The 17,527-nt window shown below is 34.4% G+C and overlaps 1 long non-coding RNA gene across 3 annotated transcripts in view; it reads right to left on the bottom strand.

The window, feature by feature from the left end:
• Positions 1-17,527, bottom strand: part of SAMMSON (survival associated mitochondrial melanoma specific oncogenic non-coding RNA) — a 435,002-nt gene that overhangs the window by 67,797 nt on the left and 349,678 nt on the right. For 2 of the 3 annotated variants that reach the window (NR_186031.1, NR_186032.1), the window contains one exon: positions 8,469-8,539. This is a non-coding gene — a long non-coding RNA (survival associated mitochondrial melanoma specific oncogenic non-coding RNA). Of the gene's footprint in view, positions 1-8,468; positions 8,540-12,515; positions 12,619-17,527 lie in introns of all 3 variants that reach the window. The other variant, NR_186030.1, reaches the window with a different exon arrangement.

Here is a 17,527-nt window from a genome sequence, read left to right as displayed (position 1 = left end):
TCATGGGAATGAAAAATGGTACAATCACTTTTAAAAACAGTTCAGCAGCTTCCTACAAAGCTAAAAACAGTCTTACCATATGATTCAGCAATTGTGTTAACCAATTGATTTGCAAAGTTATGTCCACACAAAAGCTTGCACATAAATTTTTATGACAGATTATTTACAATTGCTAAAACATGGTAACCACCAAGATGTCCTTCATTGGAGAATTAATAAACAAACAGTGGTGTATCCATACTGTGGAATATTATTCAGTGATAAAAAGAAATAAGCTATTAGGCAAAAAAAAAAAAAAAACATAAAAACACAAACGAAACAAAACAAAAAAACAGACATGGAAGAATCACCAATATACGTTAATAAGTTTAATGAAGCCAACGCAAAAAGGCTATATACTACATAATTCCAATTACATCACACTTTGGAAAAAAGCAAAATATAAGATCAGAGTTTTCCAGGTCTTTGAAGAGAGACAAGGAGGATTGAAAAGGTAAAGCACAGGCCGGGCGCAGTGGCTCACGCCTGTAATCCCAGCACTTTGGGAGGCCGAGGCGGGTGGATCATGAGGTCAGGAGATCGAGACCATCCTGGCTAACAAGGTGAAACCCCGTCTCTACTAAAAATACAAAAAATTAGCCGGGCGCGGTGGCGGGCGCCTGTAGTCCCAGCTACTCGGGAGGCTGAGGCAGGAGAATGGCGTGAACCCGGGAAGCGGAGCTTGCAGTGAGCCGAGATTGCGCCACTGCAGTCCGCAGTCCGACCTGGGCGACAGAGCGAGACTCCGTCTCAAAAAAAAAAAAAAAAAAAAAAAAAAAAAAAGAAAAGGTAAAGCACAAACAATTTTTAAGCTGGCAAAAATATTCTGTATGATACTGTAATAATCAATATATAAGTACCCATAGAACTTTACAGCACAAGGGAGGAATTTTAATATATGTAAATTTTAAAAAATAGGAGGTCAAGAAATCTCCCAAAAAATTGAAGAAAGTGACAAAACAATCAGTGCATTACAAATGTATAAAACTACCTCACTGAAGAGGATGGGAGGAAAGATACTGCTCAGAGTAACTTTAGAACTGAGTGGGTTCTGTAAGACAAGAGGCAAAAGAAACTACACCTAACTGCAGAACTCTAGTTGATAAAAGTTGTTTCCTGCAAGGGTACAGGTTAACAATTCTGAAACATAAATGTTCACTGGACTTAACAAGTAAATGGATTCCAAATAGGAGTAGTCAGGTTTCTTACTACTGGAATAGGAGTTTACAGATAAGAAATGGGGAGGCTCTGATAATACATGTGGTCATTAGAGTTTGGTACATTAGAATAAATTCATAATTCATATTGAGTCTAATATAGGTACAGATTGTGACATATAGAAATATTTATGGATATGTGTACATTTGGGATGTTTGTGTACATATATACACATATAGATACATATATACACACATATACACACACATATATATGTGTGTGTATATACACACTCCAATGGCAATGAGAAATACTAGTACCCAGATATTGGTTTTTAATACCATTTGCCAATAAAAGCAACCAGGACTCCCTGGAGAAACAGGACTCAGGGAGGAAATGTATTAAGAAAAGCATGGAGCATTTTATGATGCCAGAAAGTAAGAAAGTGCTTTTAGGATGGCAAAAATATTCTGTATGATATTGCAGTGGTGGATATATGACACATTGTATTTTTGAAAACCCATAGAACTTTATAGCATAAAGAATGAACCTTAATAAATGTACATTTTAGAAAATATATTTGTGAGATCAAGATATCCCAGAAAAAAAAATAATGTGACAAAACAATCTGAGTGCGTTATAAATGGATAACACGATCTCATTGAAAGAGATGCGGGATTTATAGTAGAAACGAACATGAAATTAGAAGGAATATAAGGGAAAACAGGCACTGTGGAAAAAATAGTAAGAGATATGGAAGATAGAGAGAAAACAAACTACAGTAAGGGGAAATAAAGCTCAGATTAAAAACATAAAAGGTGTAGAATGTAGGAAAAGGAGATGTACCATCTGCATTTTCAGAGTCCTGCAAAAGAAGATTACAACAATAGGAAATTAAGGTAAAGATTTAATGCAAGAAAAATGTCCTGGATAAAATAAATAAGACTTGAACTTCCTTAAAAGAAGAACATGCTGTATACCACAGAACACTAGCCAGAACCAGCTTACACCAACACAAATCTTAGTGAATGTCTTGCATTTTAAAGATAGAATTTTTAAAAAGGAATCTTTGGGGTAGTAAGAGAAAAAGTTCAAGCCGCTTGTTAAAGAGGGAAGAAATAAAGTTGGCCTTGAATTTCTTCACATTGACACTTTTAACCACAAAACAAAACAAAAGAGCTTTGTTGAGCAGCATCTACAATATACTCAAGGAAGTAAAGTGTAATCCAAAGATTTTTATATCCAGCCAAACTGCCCTTCAAGGATAAGGCTGTTAAAATGCACAAATACACACACAGTTTTGAACAATCAATAACTCAGGTTTATTTTTCCCATGAACCTTTATTGATGAAACTGCCAGAGGATTAACTTCTCCTAACAGATAATTGGGGAAACTATGGCCAAAGGACAACTAGTGGGCACTGGAAAGGTTTAATTGTAGAAATAAAACTGAAATAAATGCAGGAATTATGTGCAAAGAACAAAATATAAACTATATATGCTGTACATTGTAGGAATGATAGAAATATTAAGTATTAGGAGGAAAGGGGGCAGGGAGGAATGAGAATGTCAACAGATAAGATCTCAAGAAAATTAAAAACATGTATACATTTTTTAAGAGTCCATAACTCAACTAAACAGACAAAAAAGCTAGAAATATATCTGCAGCTCATACTATATTAAATGCTCACGTAAAATAAAAAGAAAATATCAATACATGTGTGGAAAACGTCATAAACAGATAATTCACACTCTCTCTCTGTCATGCACACACACACACACACACACACACACAGACAATGCAATAACACAACTGTAAAAAACAGCTTTAAAAAAAGATAAATCACACATGCTAATGAGGGTCATGGAAACGGACATTCTCAAACAGTGCTAGTGACATTGCAAATTAAAATGACTCTTGAAAAGTACTGTATCAAATATCTAAGTTAATTTGTACTAAAACCTTAACATGTTCACCCAAAAAATGTTCATGCACATACATAGTCCTCTTCTATTTTAATAGTTATTGTAAATGGGATTACCTCCTCTATTTCTTTTTGGTGTATAGAAATGCTACTGATTCTTGACTGTAGATGTTGTACCCTGAAACATTACTGAATGCATTTACCAGTTTTAAGAGGGTTTTTTTTGTGTGTGTGAGTCTTTAGGTTTTTCTAGGTATAAGATTATGTTGTCAGCGAAGGGGACCAATTTACTTTCTCTTCTTCCATTTGGATGCCTCTTCTTTCTTTCTCTTTCCTCATTCTCTGGCTAGGATTTCCAGACTATGTTGAATAAGAGTGGTGAAAGTGGGCATCCTTGTCTTGTTCCAGTTCTTAAAGGAAAGGCTTTCAATTTTTGCCCATTCAGTATGATGTTAGCTGTGGGTTTGCTGTATATGGCCTTTGTTATTTTGAGGTATATTCCTTCTCTGCCACTAGGCAAGTTTTGTTGGCTTTCTGCAATTACCATATGCTTTCATTTCCCTGTTTTCTATTCTTCTTTACCTTTCAATCTATTATTTTATTTTTTCATTCCCCTTTGTCTTTACTATGGTCTATCTGTTAGTCCATGCCTCTTATAGACCCTTGCATCAGAATTACTTGGAGTGCAATGTCAACCATAGAGATAGATACTTGGGCTCTATCGCAGACCCCATGCTGTCAATATTACTGGACATGAGCCTGATAAACTCCATCTAACATGTTTTCTATACTCTGAGAGTCACTGTTGAAACCCATACATAACACTTGTTACTGAAGCAGCCACTGGAGAAAAAAAAAAAAAAAAAGCAGATCTTTCCTGGGTTACCAAAATTTCACAGATCAGAGTAAGCTTCTTGTATTAGTAACAGTTATTTATACAGAATATGTAGGTAAGAAGCAATTCAGGGATGTAAAAAAAAGATACACATGTGTATACATACATACACACATACACACTTTTTTACCAAGTCCAGGGATTGTCAAAAAGTACTTTGTAGGTCTTTTTTTTTCTATTCCTCACTTCTACCAGACTCAGTCTCTGCCTTTATCTGTTTCATACTTAGTATTCCATGAAATGTTTCATTTAATAAATTGTTCTGCTTCTCAAGAGAAAAGGCTTTAAAAACTATTGGTATGGTTCTACCATAAACCTACTAAACAGACTTTCTATACATGCAGAACACCAGAAACATAAGGTCAAAGACATACGTGTTCTGGGCTCCACAAGGGAAAGAAAGGCAAATTATCTACTACTTCTAGTTTTCCCAAAGACTGATCCCTGTTGAGAAATTCAAACATCTTTGACTTTACCTATTAGATCAATTAATTTCTAATGTTTAATCTTGGACTTGATCTGTTAGGTCAACTTATTTCTAACTTTTTAAATGTTTGATACAAAAGAAAATCTAAACCACCACTTATCATCCGAGAGTCAATCCAAATGTTATTTCCCCAAGTAAAGACTTTGACTTCTTCAAGTATATTTAAAGAATCCTTCCCTTTTTTCTACCACACTTTACAGGCATTTAACACAGAATTGTAAATGATGGTTTGCATATCTTTATCCCCTGTAGACAACAGCCAAGGTGTAAACATTCATCTCGGGAAATCCAAGCATAATAGGTACATTAAAATAATTACATGGATCTATTTATATAGCAAAAGATTCAGTCCTCTGCTCTAGGTAATCCTGTAGTATCCTCAGAGCATCTCAGAAAAGTGTTACCTATTTTAAATTTGTCTCCTATTTTTGGATTTATGTTCTTGCTCTTTGATCTTCACTTGCGGTGAAAATGTTAAAAGAATGATGTTGCCTGCAGCCGAGTTCATGTTGAAAAAGGCACTATATTGAGGTGCAGTTTGAAACGTGACAGCATATGTAAATGTGTTGGTGACGCTAAAAATACATGGATAAATGATGCATGACATCCACAGAGTATGCACAACTTTGTATTTATATAGTACCTACATGTAGACATTAGGATTCTATTTATGCATTTGCCAAGAAAGGGAAAAGTGTCTACATATGTCTCGTAAATATGGATCCGGGCTCATGCCCAATGCAGATGCTGCAGCGAGATGAGAGTGGGGAAGGGGCTTGTTGCTCTGGGAGCAGGCTGTCTGTCAGATCATTTCCCCAGAATAGGTTTCTGGAAACATGAACAAAGATGACGGCCCAGAGACAACAGAAATTTATCCAAAGAGGATAAAAATTCCTTTCCATAGTGGTTCAGTAGTATGTCTAATTTCTTATAATTCTTTGAAAATTGGTAATCTAGAAATGTCGGATGTGACTGCATTCAGTTAGCCAATGTATTAAAAGAACCCAAGAACTCCCATTTACCAAGTACTTAAAGAGATCAGAGTTCTGCTTATGCCTTGTCTACAACCAGGATGATGACTCACAAGGAGACTACAGGGGTTTTCAAAGAGAAAATGATGACATCACTGATGCAATACGTCTTTAAGGGTTTTGCCCTTAAAGTCAGAAAACCCAGGATTACAGTTTCCATCTTAGCACTTCGTGTCTCTCTGACCTTGGGCCTCTGAGGCTGAGTTTTCTTATCTGTAATACAGGGATGGTTAAGTACCTACCTCATATAGAGTTTTAAAAAATTAAATGGTAGAATGCTGGTAAAATAATTAGCACAGTGACGGGATAGTTCATAATGCAAAACATGATAGCTATTCATTACATGTATGCTCTGCTAATATTTCTCCCTTAATAAAATAGGGCTTCTTCATTTAGAATTATATTAGACTAAATAATATTTTAATATTCTCACTCTGAAATATAAATGCATAATTCCAAAAAGCTTAGCACATACAAACTTTTCCAAAATATGAATTTTTTTCCATTTATATTATGATGTTTTATCATAACTTACTCTGAGAAGTGTTCAATTGTTATATCTCATTCAAAAATTCAATGATTAAGCATTCAACTTATGACACTCACAATGTTAAATCAAATTCTATGTCTACCATCCTAGTCTGCCTTCAGATTTTCCTTTCAAATCAGTATGGGAAAGAAATATGATAGCTGTAGGTTTGCTGGTCTGGGAGATGGTGCTGGAATAGAGTGCGTTTAGTCTGGTGAAGTAAGGAAGTTTCTATAATCTCGTTACTTTCCCCTGGTGCCTCAGTTTAAAACATATAACAGTCATTTTTACAATAGGAAAAGTGACTTACTTGTATAGTTATCAGCTTTTACTGCAAAAGAATTAATGTCCATAACCACTTAACATTGTTTCTAAGAAGGTCCCGTCCTTATTGTATACTTAAGTTGTAACGTTCAATGATGCAGAATCCGTGTCTTGAATTAGGAAAACTTGGCACTTTACTAGTTTAATTTTACATGTTTTAATCCATATGAGGCATAAGAATGAAACAAAATGGTGGCGGGAGATCTTTTGCTCTTCTCCTTTCTATTAAATCTTTGGCTTTTCTTTATCTTCCCCCTCCCTCCCTTCTTCTCTAATCCCCTTGTTCATTTCTTACATAGACAATGACATAAAAAGGAGATGGTGAATAAAATAAAGGGTTAGACTTTGATCAGCAAATGCGCCGACGGAAGTCTGTTCCATTTACTAGCTCAAATTCCTCAGATGAAGGATTTGATCTTTATAGTAAAAAATATTCCACCGTGATACTCTTCAAGTGTGAGTCTCACAGCACCAATTCGCCACCAACTCAACCTGCTTGACAACTGCTCTGCATTCTTCTAACTCCAGAGAGCCTTACAAGTATGGAGAAAAGTATATGCTAACCTAGTACATTATAAAGGTCTGAGATATTGCAATCATTATTATCTCTAAAATAATTCTCTCTAAATAAAACAAAAAATAATCTAATTAAGTAGAAAAAAGCACTATCTCTGTATCAGCAATAAGCAATAAATTGTTATCAGCAATAAATGAAAAATCTAAATATTTTAAACAAGTAAATGAATAGTCTTAAGTGTGACGGCTTAGCTACAGAACAGAGAAAAGGCTCGCGATAGTTTAAAATAATAGTGATACAATTTTAATAAGGTGGCATTTTTTATTACAAACATTTAAGCGCTCTTTCTGATCTCTCATATTATACTCAGCAGTTAAGCAGCTTTTTTGTGGAGCTTTTCTAACCACCTCATTTAACATTAGATATAACTTTTAGTTTAATTAAAGCATTCTTCTTTTTCAGTAATAGTCAATTGTTTTCAGTTCACCCATTAGGTATAATTGTTTTCTTTGATCCATTCAAAACCTGGCTATTTTTCATGGTTAATTAAATCAACACTTGACCACAGCATTTAATGCTTAACTCAGTTTTATTTCTATTCTTGAGTACTTGGGCTTCTTCACATACTACGTCTTGAAAAGATTGCTCACATTAAGTTACATACCACCTACAACTTGTCCCTGTAAGTAGAGGCAAAGTGTGTATTTCAGGAATTCCAGCAGAGGGCAGTCAAGCAAGAATAATCATTTTTGCAAGAGGAGAAATTGATGATGATGTTTTCTGATATTTTTTCAAATCAAATTAACATCAGAGTATGTGTGTGTGAGTGTATATGTGTGTTGGGGGCTGGGGGTGGGTGGAACAAATCTATCCTTGGCGAGCCAACTCATTTCTCACTTAACCTCTCTCTCAGCTGAATAAGAGCCACTGTGTGCACAAGATAAGAGACAAGATATTTGCAAAACACTCCTAGTATTAAAACCAAAGCCATAAATTCTGTTACGACAACTGACATTTTCATCACTCTCTACTTTGGCTTCTTTTACATTATATGGATTTTAAGAATAAGTTCACATCATTGAAGAAAGTAATCAAACTTTTGAAGAATAATACTTCTTGCCAGGAAATTATTGAAATAAATACATTTTAACTACAAAGCAATGCAATAAACAAAAGTAAGTTGGCTTCAGTTTTCACAAGAAAAAAAAACAGAAGATATATTTTCTACCCCTATTTAGGAGATGACAGGTGGAGCTTCCAATCCACAGAATGCTCATTTCTAACATGACTAACAACTCCTATATGCCACTTCTGGCCAATGAGCTCTCAATTACTTGCCATCTGTTTCTTTTCAAAGAGGCCTTCCATGAGCCAACAACCAGAAGCATTGCACTAGGGATCACCTGGCCAGAGATATGGAAGTTCCATTCCTTTAACTCTTATACCGTGCCATATGCTGGTAAATATTAAATGGCCAGCTTTTCAGGAGGAAAAAGCACTAAATCATAGCTTTTGCCAATTTCTGTAGTGTAAATACTCATGCCATAGTAGATTTCAACTTACCAATATGAAGTCACTGAACATGGAGCTGGAAAGAGCTGCATGGTAGCACACCATTAGGTCATGTTCCCAACCTACAGATAGAGTGGACATAGTCACAAAAGTAAAGATAATGGCAAAAATGTAGTAAAATAATTAGGAAACAGTAAGTTTCAAATACGTATTACTTTTGTTTTTTAAGGTAATTTATGTATTATAAGTCAATATACTTTATTTTTTGATAATGGCTATGTTTAACAATTGGCTCACAAAACCACTGCAAATTTAACAGTCATTTCTTGGGAACTGTACGAACTGACTCAAGTACACCACAGATACACCAGACCTTCTGGTACTTAATCTTAAGAGAAGTAGTACAACAAAACACAACAAGAGTCAAGATGGAGAAGTTGTCCATTTTGTTTAAAGCACTTCATCATCCTTTATACTCAGTTTTCTAGGCAGGAAAAATCATATCCCATTAATAGAAAATACTCTTTACTTTTAAAATAAAAGGGATATAAATTTGACACATTTTGTCATATGAATCACTTATGTGTCACTTTCATGCTTTTTTTGCCCTGTGAACACGTTATTATTATTATTTTCATTCTTAAATGTTTCTTTTTTTAAAATTTTATTTTAAGCTCTGGGATACATGTGCAGAATGTGCAGTTTTGTTCCATAAGTATACATGTGCCATGGTGGTTTGCTACACCCATTGACCCATCTTCTAAGTTTCCTCCCCTAGCCTCCCAGCCCCCAGCAGGCCCTGGTGTGTGTTGTTCCCCACTCTGTGTCCATGTGCTCTCATTTTAACATGTAATTATTTCACTTTTTGAAAATCCACTCAACTTTTAAAATAAAAAATTTTATTTAAAAACATCACATTCATAAAGGGAAAATCATTAACATATTTTACAAATAGGCATTAACCCTAAATATAAATGATAAAAGCACTATGTTAGTAAATTCTGTCTAGAAACCACTGCTTACCAAAAGCTTTGTATCTGAGGCCTGCTCTCTTTTTGCCAAAAAGATGCTTTCCTGAGTTTAATAAAATATTAAAAACACATTAGCACTCATTGAGACTTTTTCCTTTACATAATCAGGAAAACGGAAGCTGAATTAAACAGAGATTCTCGCTATGCAGTTCAATGTTGTTTATTTTCATGTCCATGTCCTTGTACATAAAATCCATTAGAATGCATCCTAAAATCATCTCACCTACCACTGGGGGTGCACGTTCCAAGTTTGTAATAGCACCACCATCCCACCAGTTGGTTAAAACCCCCAGAATATAATTTTTCTTCTCTAGATTACAGGCTCTACTAATTCTACTTCAAAAGTAGGTGACTTACTGTATGCATTTTGGCAAATTACTTAATATTTGCTAATCCTGAGTTGCCTTCTCAGTTATTATGAAGATTAAAAGTACTTATCACAGTAATTGCCTGGGATAAAGTCAGTGCTCAAAAAAAGTGCCATCTGTAAGTACTGCTCTGGGTGGTGTCATGATTATCAATAAAGGTAGCTATGTGGTTTCCCAGCCCACAGCAAATTAGAAAGAGAGACAGCCTGGGATTGGTATTCTTAAGGCAGAAAGAAACATCAATTTAACTTCTGCTCATTCATGAAAACACAACCTACAAAAAAACAAAAAGGATAGGTATTTTAAAAGTTTAAGAGTTTTTAATACAAATATTTTGTTTAAAAAACAAAAGGACAAGTATTTTAAAAGTAAGAATAGTGAGGAACCATGGAAGACCAGAGAAAGGAGCTGACATCTCTCAGTGGATCTTGAGAATGTCATTAAATGACTGGTGGGACTTGTAACCAGAACTCAGGGTTATCAAGAAAATTTTAAAATATATTCGATTATTTATTTATTTAGGCAGGTTAGGGTATAGCACATTTTGGAAATATTTTTGTTAGTATACCTAAGTTGATTAAAGTTGGTTAAATTATATAATTTGATGGTTTTGTTTTGTAGGCACAGAAAGAAAACTAGAAAAACATATGCCAAAATCTTAATGGTTGTCATTGCTGGATTTGGGGTAATAGGTAACTTTTATATTATTTCGTGTGATAATTTCTAAGTTTTCTGAAATGAATGTATACTATTTTATAATCTATAAAAAGCCAATGATTTTGTAAAAAAGTTAATGAAGGGGAACAATTTCACTTTTTCAGAAACTGAATAAAAATTAATACCTGCTTTTATGAATGTCACTGAGTCATTACCGTTAGATCAGTAATCAAGTGTTAGGAATTCAGATTCATATAAACTTAAGGAACAAATCATTTCAGAACTAATCCTATTGATGTATATTGATTTAAACTTCATTTTAATTATTATGACAAATGTATGTCTTTTTGTCTCTCCTAGTTTGCTAGGTTGTTTTCTGATGAGCTTTTTTTTAGAATATGTGAAGAATCATAAATAAAATGTGATAAGAAAACCTGGATTACATGCTCAAAGGATTGTTGAAGGAACAAGTGAAATAGTTCCTTCGTTTGGAATTTCACAGCAATGTGCCTGAGTGTGCCGTTTACCTCTCCACTTCTCCTACTCCTTATGCTGAGTGTTCAGTGGATACTTTTAATCTGTAGAGTATGTCTATAGGTTCTGAAAAGTTACGCTTGCATTACTTATTTAATAATTTCTTGCCGTCTATTTTCTTTCTTCTCTTTTTTAAAGATACTTTTAGCTCACTCCAAAGATTTTTTTCCCCTCTCCTGTTTTCACTTTCTTTCCATTTTTGGTTCCACTTTCTGGAAAGTATCTATGACTTCATCTTCCAATTTTAAAACTGATTTCTTTGCAAGCATTTTAAAAGATTCTCCAGAGCTCTCTTTTGATCTCTGGTTATTTATTTTTAAAAATAACACCCTGTTTTTGTTTCATGGAAGTAATGTCAGGTATGAATGAGGATTCTAATTGGTTTTTTTTTTCTTATGCCTACTTTATCTGTGCATGTTTCAGTTGGCTCTTTGCATGTATTCATTTCAATATCACTCTTCCTTGTTGGAAGATTTCCTGAACAGCTGGTGGTCCTTGATTTATTTGTATGTAAGAATGTGTGATGAGAAAATTGATTGGAAACTTAGTAGAGTTTGCTGATTGGTTGCATGGGATGCTGTATTCTCAACCAGATCTCCAGCGTCAGTATGTGGGGATCTTCTCTTAGCAGCTGTTCTATGAATTCAGAAGAGACCTGAAGTCTCCTACCCGAGAGTTAGGCACCTGGTTACTGGTGTTCTTTGCACTGGCCAGGGGTAGGTAGCTTATTTCCAACTATTAAATTTCAATTTATCCCTTGTTTTTAATCTCTATCTTTAGTGTACTATTGCTGAGTCGTGGTAAATCTGAGTTAGTTTAGTCTTCCAAGAAGCAGAAACCAAGATGTGATTAAAAGTCCAAGGATTTTATTAAGAAAAATACCCAGGTGAGAGAAAACAGAGAAGGACCTAGATAAAGCTGGAAAGGCAATCAGACCACAATGCATGTCTGATGCCCAGTGAAGGACAGAGGGAAGGAACGCTGGGTGAAAGCATCCGAGAATGTATGCAGTCTAAAGAAGTTTGACAAGGCTGTTGTGGAGTCCTCAAACCAAATTTAGGAGTCTGGGCCTTCCTGCCATGCTCAGGCACTGTCCAGCTAGAGGCAGCATGTGGGAAGCATAGCCTCACATAATGCAGAACTGGGTTCCCAGCTCAGCAGCTGAAGCCCTGGGTCAGTGACACAGTTACACTCCCTGCAGCCAGAAGTCTGAAAGGTGCAGCCTCAGCACCACCACCATTTTCGTCATGCTCCTCCTCATTCCTGGTTTTACTGAATGAAGGGTTGATTCTGTTACTTATTGCTTCTTCTGATGATTCTAATTCTATAGTCACATTTTATTATCTTTAAACTATTTCCAGTCTTCGTGAATTGCTTCAGTCAGTATTCATTTTACTCTTCATTTGATCTCATCTTTCATCTTTTTTTCTAAAATAGCTGGTTTTCCTAAAGTTTGAGTATAGAACAAATACTTGCTAAATTATACTTCTGTTAATTTTTTAACTAACCTTTTTGTTTTGAGGGAACCGTAGATTCATCTGCAGTTGTAAGACATACCATAGAGAAGGGTACTTTTAATGCAGCTTCCTCTGGTGATAACATCTTGCAAAACTGTAACACAGTATCACAACCAGGATATTTACATTGATACATTAATGATGCAGAACACTTTAATCATCATAGCAAGCCACCACTTGGTCTTTTTACAGCTGCACTTCCTTACCCCTGACTCCCACTCTCTCCCTAATCCCTGGCAACCATAATCTGTTCTCCATTTCTATAATTTTGTCATTTTCAGAATATCATATCCATGGAGTCACATAGTAGATAACCTTTCAAATTGGCTTTTATCCCTTAGCATATATCCCTGGAAATTGATTAAGATTGTTACGTTTTATTGTTGAGTTGTATTCCAGGGAATAGATGTACCACAGTTTGTTTAACCATTCACCCATTGAAGGACATCTGAGTTGTCTTCAGTTTTGGGGTTATTATGAATGAAGCTGCTATAAACATTTATGCACAGGTTTTTGTGTGAACATAAGTTTTTATTTCTCTGGGATAAATGCCCAAGAATTCCAGAGTTGTATGATAATTGCATATTTTGTTTTTAAGGAAACTACCAAACTGTTTTTCAGAGTGGCTCTACTATTTTACATTCTCATCAGCAACATATGGCTGATCTGGTTTTCCAGAACTTCTACAGCATTTAGTGTTGTCACTATTTTTTTTATTTTAGCCATTCTGACATGTAGTATAGTAATATTTCATTGTGGTTTTAATTGGTATTTCACTAATGAATAATGCATCTCTTTTCTTGTGATAATTTGCCATCTGTACATCCTTCTCAGTGAAACATCTTCTTTATTTCTTTTACCCATTTTCTACTGAATTGTTTGTTTATTTAATGCAGTTTTCTGAGTTCTTTATATATTCTAGTTGCTAGTCCTTTCTCAGATAAGTGATTTGCAAACATTCTCTCTCAGTAAGTAGCTTGAATTTTTATTCTTTTATGAGAAAAGTTTTTTCTTTTATAGAGAAAAGTTTTATTATTTTACAGAGAACAGTTTTTGTTTTACACAGATGAGATCCAATGTATCAATTTTTCCTTTTATAAATCATGATTTTGATGGTAAATCTAAGGATTTTTTGCCCAGTTTTAAATGGGTATTCTACATTTAAGTCCATTGATAGGTTATAAGATAAATTTTAAATATAAAGTGAAACTTAGTAGTTCTTTTGTTTGTTTCTTAACTTATGGATGTCCAATTGCTCTAGTATCATTTGCTGAAAAAATTTATCTTTTTGTTCCATTGAATTGTTTATTTATCTTTGTCAAAAGTCAGTTACGTATATTTTTGTGGATCTATTTTTGGTTTCTATTCTGTTTCATTAATCTATGTATTCCTCAACCAATACCACACAGTTTTGATTTCTATAGCTATAAAATAGGTCTTGAAATTGGGTAAACTCATTCTTTTCAAAATTGTCTTAGTTATCCTCCTTTTTTTCCTTTGGAAAATAATTAAAATATTCTTGTCTATTTCTACAAAATTGTGTTTATACATTATTGAAATATTTATTCTATATGCATTTAAGATCACATCAGACAGTGTTGAGATTTTTGCTCAACTCTCAAGGATAATTTTTAAAACTTAAGAAGAGAAAGAAAATCTATTGGATTTACCCATACTGTTGCTTAGCATGCTTTTCATTTCTTCCTAACATTCCAAGGTTGGAATTTTCATTGTTTTCTTTCTGTTTAGAGAACTTATTTTAAGCATTTTAGGATTAGTGTTCTGGTGACAAATTCTCTTATTTTCCTTCATCTGATGATGTCATGATTTTTCCTTCATTCCTATAGGATATATTGCTGGATATAGGATTCTGGGTTGCTAGTTCTTTTCTTTCAGTATTGAAAAATGCTGTGTCATTTCCTGCTAGCTTCCATGGTCTCTCTGATGAGAAATCTGCTCTCCTTTTAATTATTACCTGCCACTAAAGTAAGGTGTCATTTCTCTTTCACTCCTTTCAAGATTTTTTTCTTTCTCCTAAGTTTTCAGAACACTAAAACTTGGCTATGAGGTCTCTTGGGATGAAGTTATTTGTGTTTAACTTTTTGAAGGTTTGCTTAGCTTCTTGAACGTATAGGTTCATCATTTTTTTTTTTTTTTTGCCAGATTGAGAAGTTGGTTCATTATTTCTTTGACTACTTTTTCAGCCCTGCTATCTTTCTTCTCTCCTATCAGGACTCCAAAGACATGAATATTATATCCTTTTCATTATACCCAAAATCCTCAGGGCTTGTTACTTTTTAAAAGTCTCTTTTTTTTCTGTTGTTCAGATGAAATCATTTATATTGTCCTACAATTCAGTTGGGGTGACTAAATACGAACCTAATCAGTGAGGAGGTCTAGAGTCCCCAAGGGGCCTTTGCTGTTATGGTGGAGTAGAGTCACAGTTGTCCATGCTGTTTGACTAGAGAAGAGTGATTATTGCCTAAAAGTTTTTGTCTTGCTAGGGTGCCTCGTTCTTGGTTATTTGGTTAGAGAGAGGAGGCTTTTGGGATTTTGTTGTTGTTTGTTTGTTTGTTTTATCTGTGCTCATTAGCATTTCTGAGTGACCAATTTCTTCAGCTGCTAGTGTGGGATATATGAGGTAAAAACAAATCCCAGGGAATTCACTACTATGTTGTTTCTCAACTCCCATAATTTCTAGCCTGTCTGTCCTCTTCTTTCCCTATTTTTGGGCATTTTAAATATATAATATTTAGAGGGTTTAGCTGTACTTAGCAAGAGGAATAGGGAAAATTACATCTCCATCTTCCTGGAAATAGAACTATTCTATTGATTTTAATACATATTTTGGAAACATATTTTTCTTCTCTGCCCCAAATACCAGGTTCTTTATCTTTTTTACTATAGAACCTTGCAAAAATCCCACACTTCTCCCCACCAATACTTATTAAAGAAAGCAGGCTCTATCCAGGTATTTATTCATAAAATTTGGAGGTTTTCCTTATCCCTTAAGTATCAACTTACTTTTTCTTAGAATCCTTCCTTTTGTTTTTGAATCGGGTAATGGTTAACATGAACTACACCTGGCCAATCTTCCTATGCTTTTCTCTTTTATGTAGGGAATATTTCTTTATCTGTGAAATTCAAATCTGTCTCAATGATATGATTTTATAAGGTGGCCTAATAAAAAGGGGTTTCACAAACTACTCATAATATCTGAAATAGGATATATTTCAGGTACATATTATGAGTACTATAGAACCACTGCTCAAGGCTTCTTTCCTACCATATAACACATTAAGCTCATTTCATATTTAGGAGTTATCTTGACTATTCCCCTTGTCTGAAGTGCTTTTTACCTAAATTTTTGCAAGATTGGCTTTTGCTCATCATTTAAGTCTCAACTCAATGTCACCTCCTTAGAAATGTTGTTACTGACTTCCCAGTCTAAATTAGGCCGTCCACAGTATGGTATTTCTGATTCCATTATCCTAAATTATTTTCTTCATAGCATGTCTTAATATTTGAAATTACCTTACTAATTTATTTGCATGCTTTATATTCATTTCATCTTCTTCCTATAGAACATAAGTTTAATAAGGAAGGAACTTAGAATTTGAATGAATGAATGAAATAGCTAGTAAGACACATACATAAAATAGTTTTATATTTACAATTAGTTTTGAAATTTTGAATATGGGTGAAGAAGTAATGAAAAATATTATATATGGAATTATCTTTCATTGAAAATCTTATCTAATTGTATCATAAAGGGTTCATGATGTTTCCAGTATAATTTATTAAATACATATCAAGAAACAAACTCAGATTTTAGATACCAATACTATACTTTAAAAAGGGGGAATTTCTGTATAATTTTAGCAATAAATTCTAAAGTAAATCATTTTACATATTTTATTCAAAATAGAAGATAATTGTTATTTGGAATTTCAATGTACCTACATGCAAAAAAAGGTTATTCTTTAGCCAGAAAACGTAGCTTTGGTATAGAATATTTGGGAGATCAAAAAATGTTAGAGCAAGTAAACAGATTATTTTCAATTAATAACTTTGAGGAACACTTTTTGCATTCTGGAGATTTTAGTCACCCACAGAATTTGTTTTTAACTTAAAATAGATAATTTTGTTTAAGTGCCTCTGGTGTCTTTTTTAGAATTTGGATCATAGTGTGTCACCAGCACTCATGTTCAAGTTAAGTATCCAAAAGGAAGAAGTTTAAGTGGAAATTTTCCTTCTTCTTTAATCAATGTATCTATAGACTTTCTAATAGAAGAGTGCTGTGCAAGAGCTCAGTGCAACAATCATGTTCAAAAAAAAACATACTTCACATTGACATTTGCCCTTAATACCTTTTTCTTTTAGTGTTTGTTGGGGTGCATAAGTGATAGAAGGATGAGTTTGCTAAGGCAATTACCCATTATTGTTGAGTGGTCTAGCAGTCCCCTGAGTAAACTCATGCATAATCTGTTTATGCATAATATACTGTCTACAGTACTGTACCTACCCCTGCCAGGGGGAAGAAATATTTGGGACTTCTTGCTCATACTGTTTCCTTGTACATTAAATGACCTCTTTTCCCAACCCGACCTTCATCTCTCTATAGCCAAATCCAAACTGTCTTTCAAGCTCAAGTGCATTTAATGACCACATAGAAAGTTATTTTTCCTCCTCTCAACAACCCCTGAGACTTTATCAATACCCCTCATTATAGTTAAGTATAATACAGGTGAGAAAATATATATGAACACATTTTATCCTATTAGATTCTAACTGTAATGAGGTGAACAAATAATGGGTTGCTGGCCGCCTTACATGCTCTGGCAAATGCTCCCCACTTTCTGAAAGCTGACCTCCCATTATTTTATTTTTTTTTTAAGACCGAGTTTCACTCTGTTGCCTAGGCTGGAGTGCAGTGGCATGATTTCGGCTCACTGCAACCTCTGCCTCCTGCGTTCAAGCAATTTTCCTGCCCCAGCCTCCCG

This window comes from Homo sapiens, chromosome 3 (genome assembly GCF_000001405.40).
Source record: "Homo sapiens chromosome 3, GRCh38.p14 Primary Assembly".
In the NCBI taxonomy this organism is placed as follows: Eukaryota; Metazoa; Chordata; class Mammalia; order Primates; family Hominidae; genus Homo; species Homo sapiens.
This window is presented reverse-complemented; position numbering and strand designations above follow the sequence as displayed.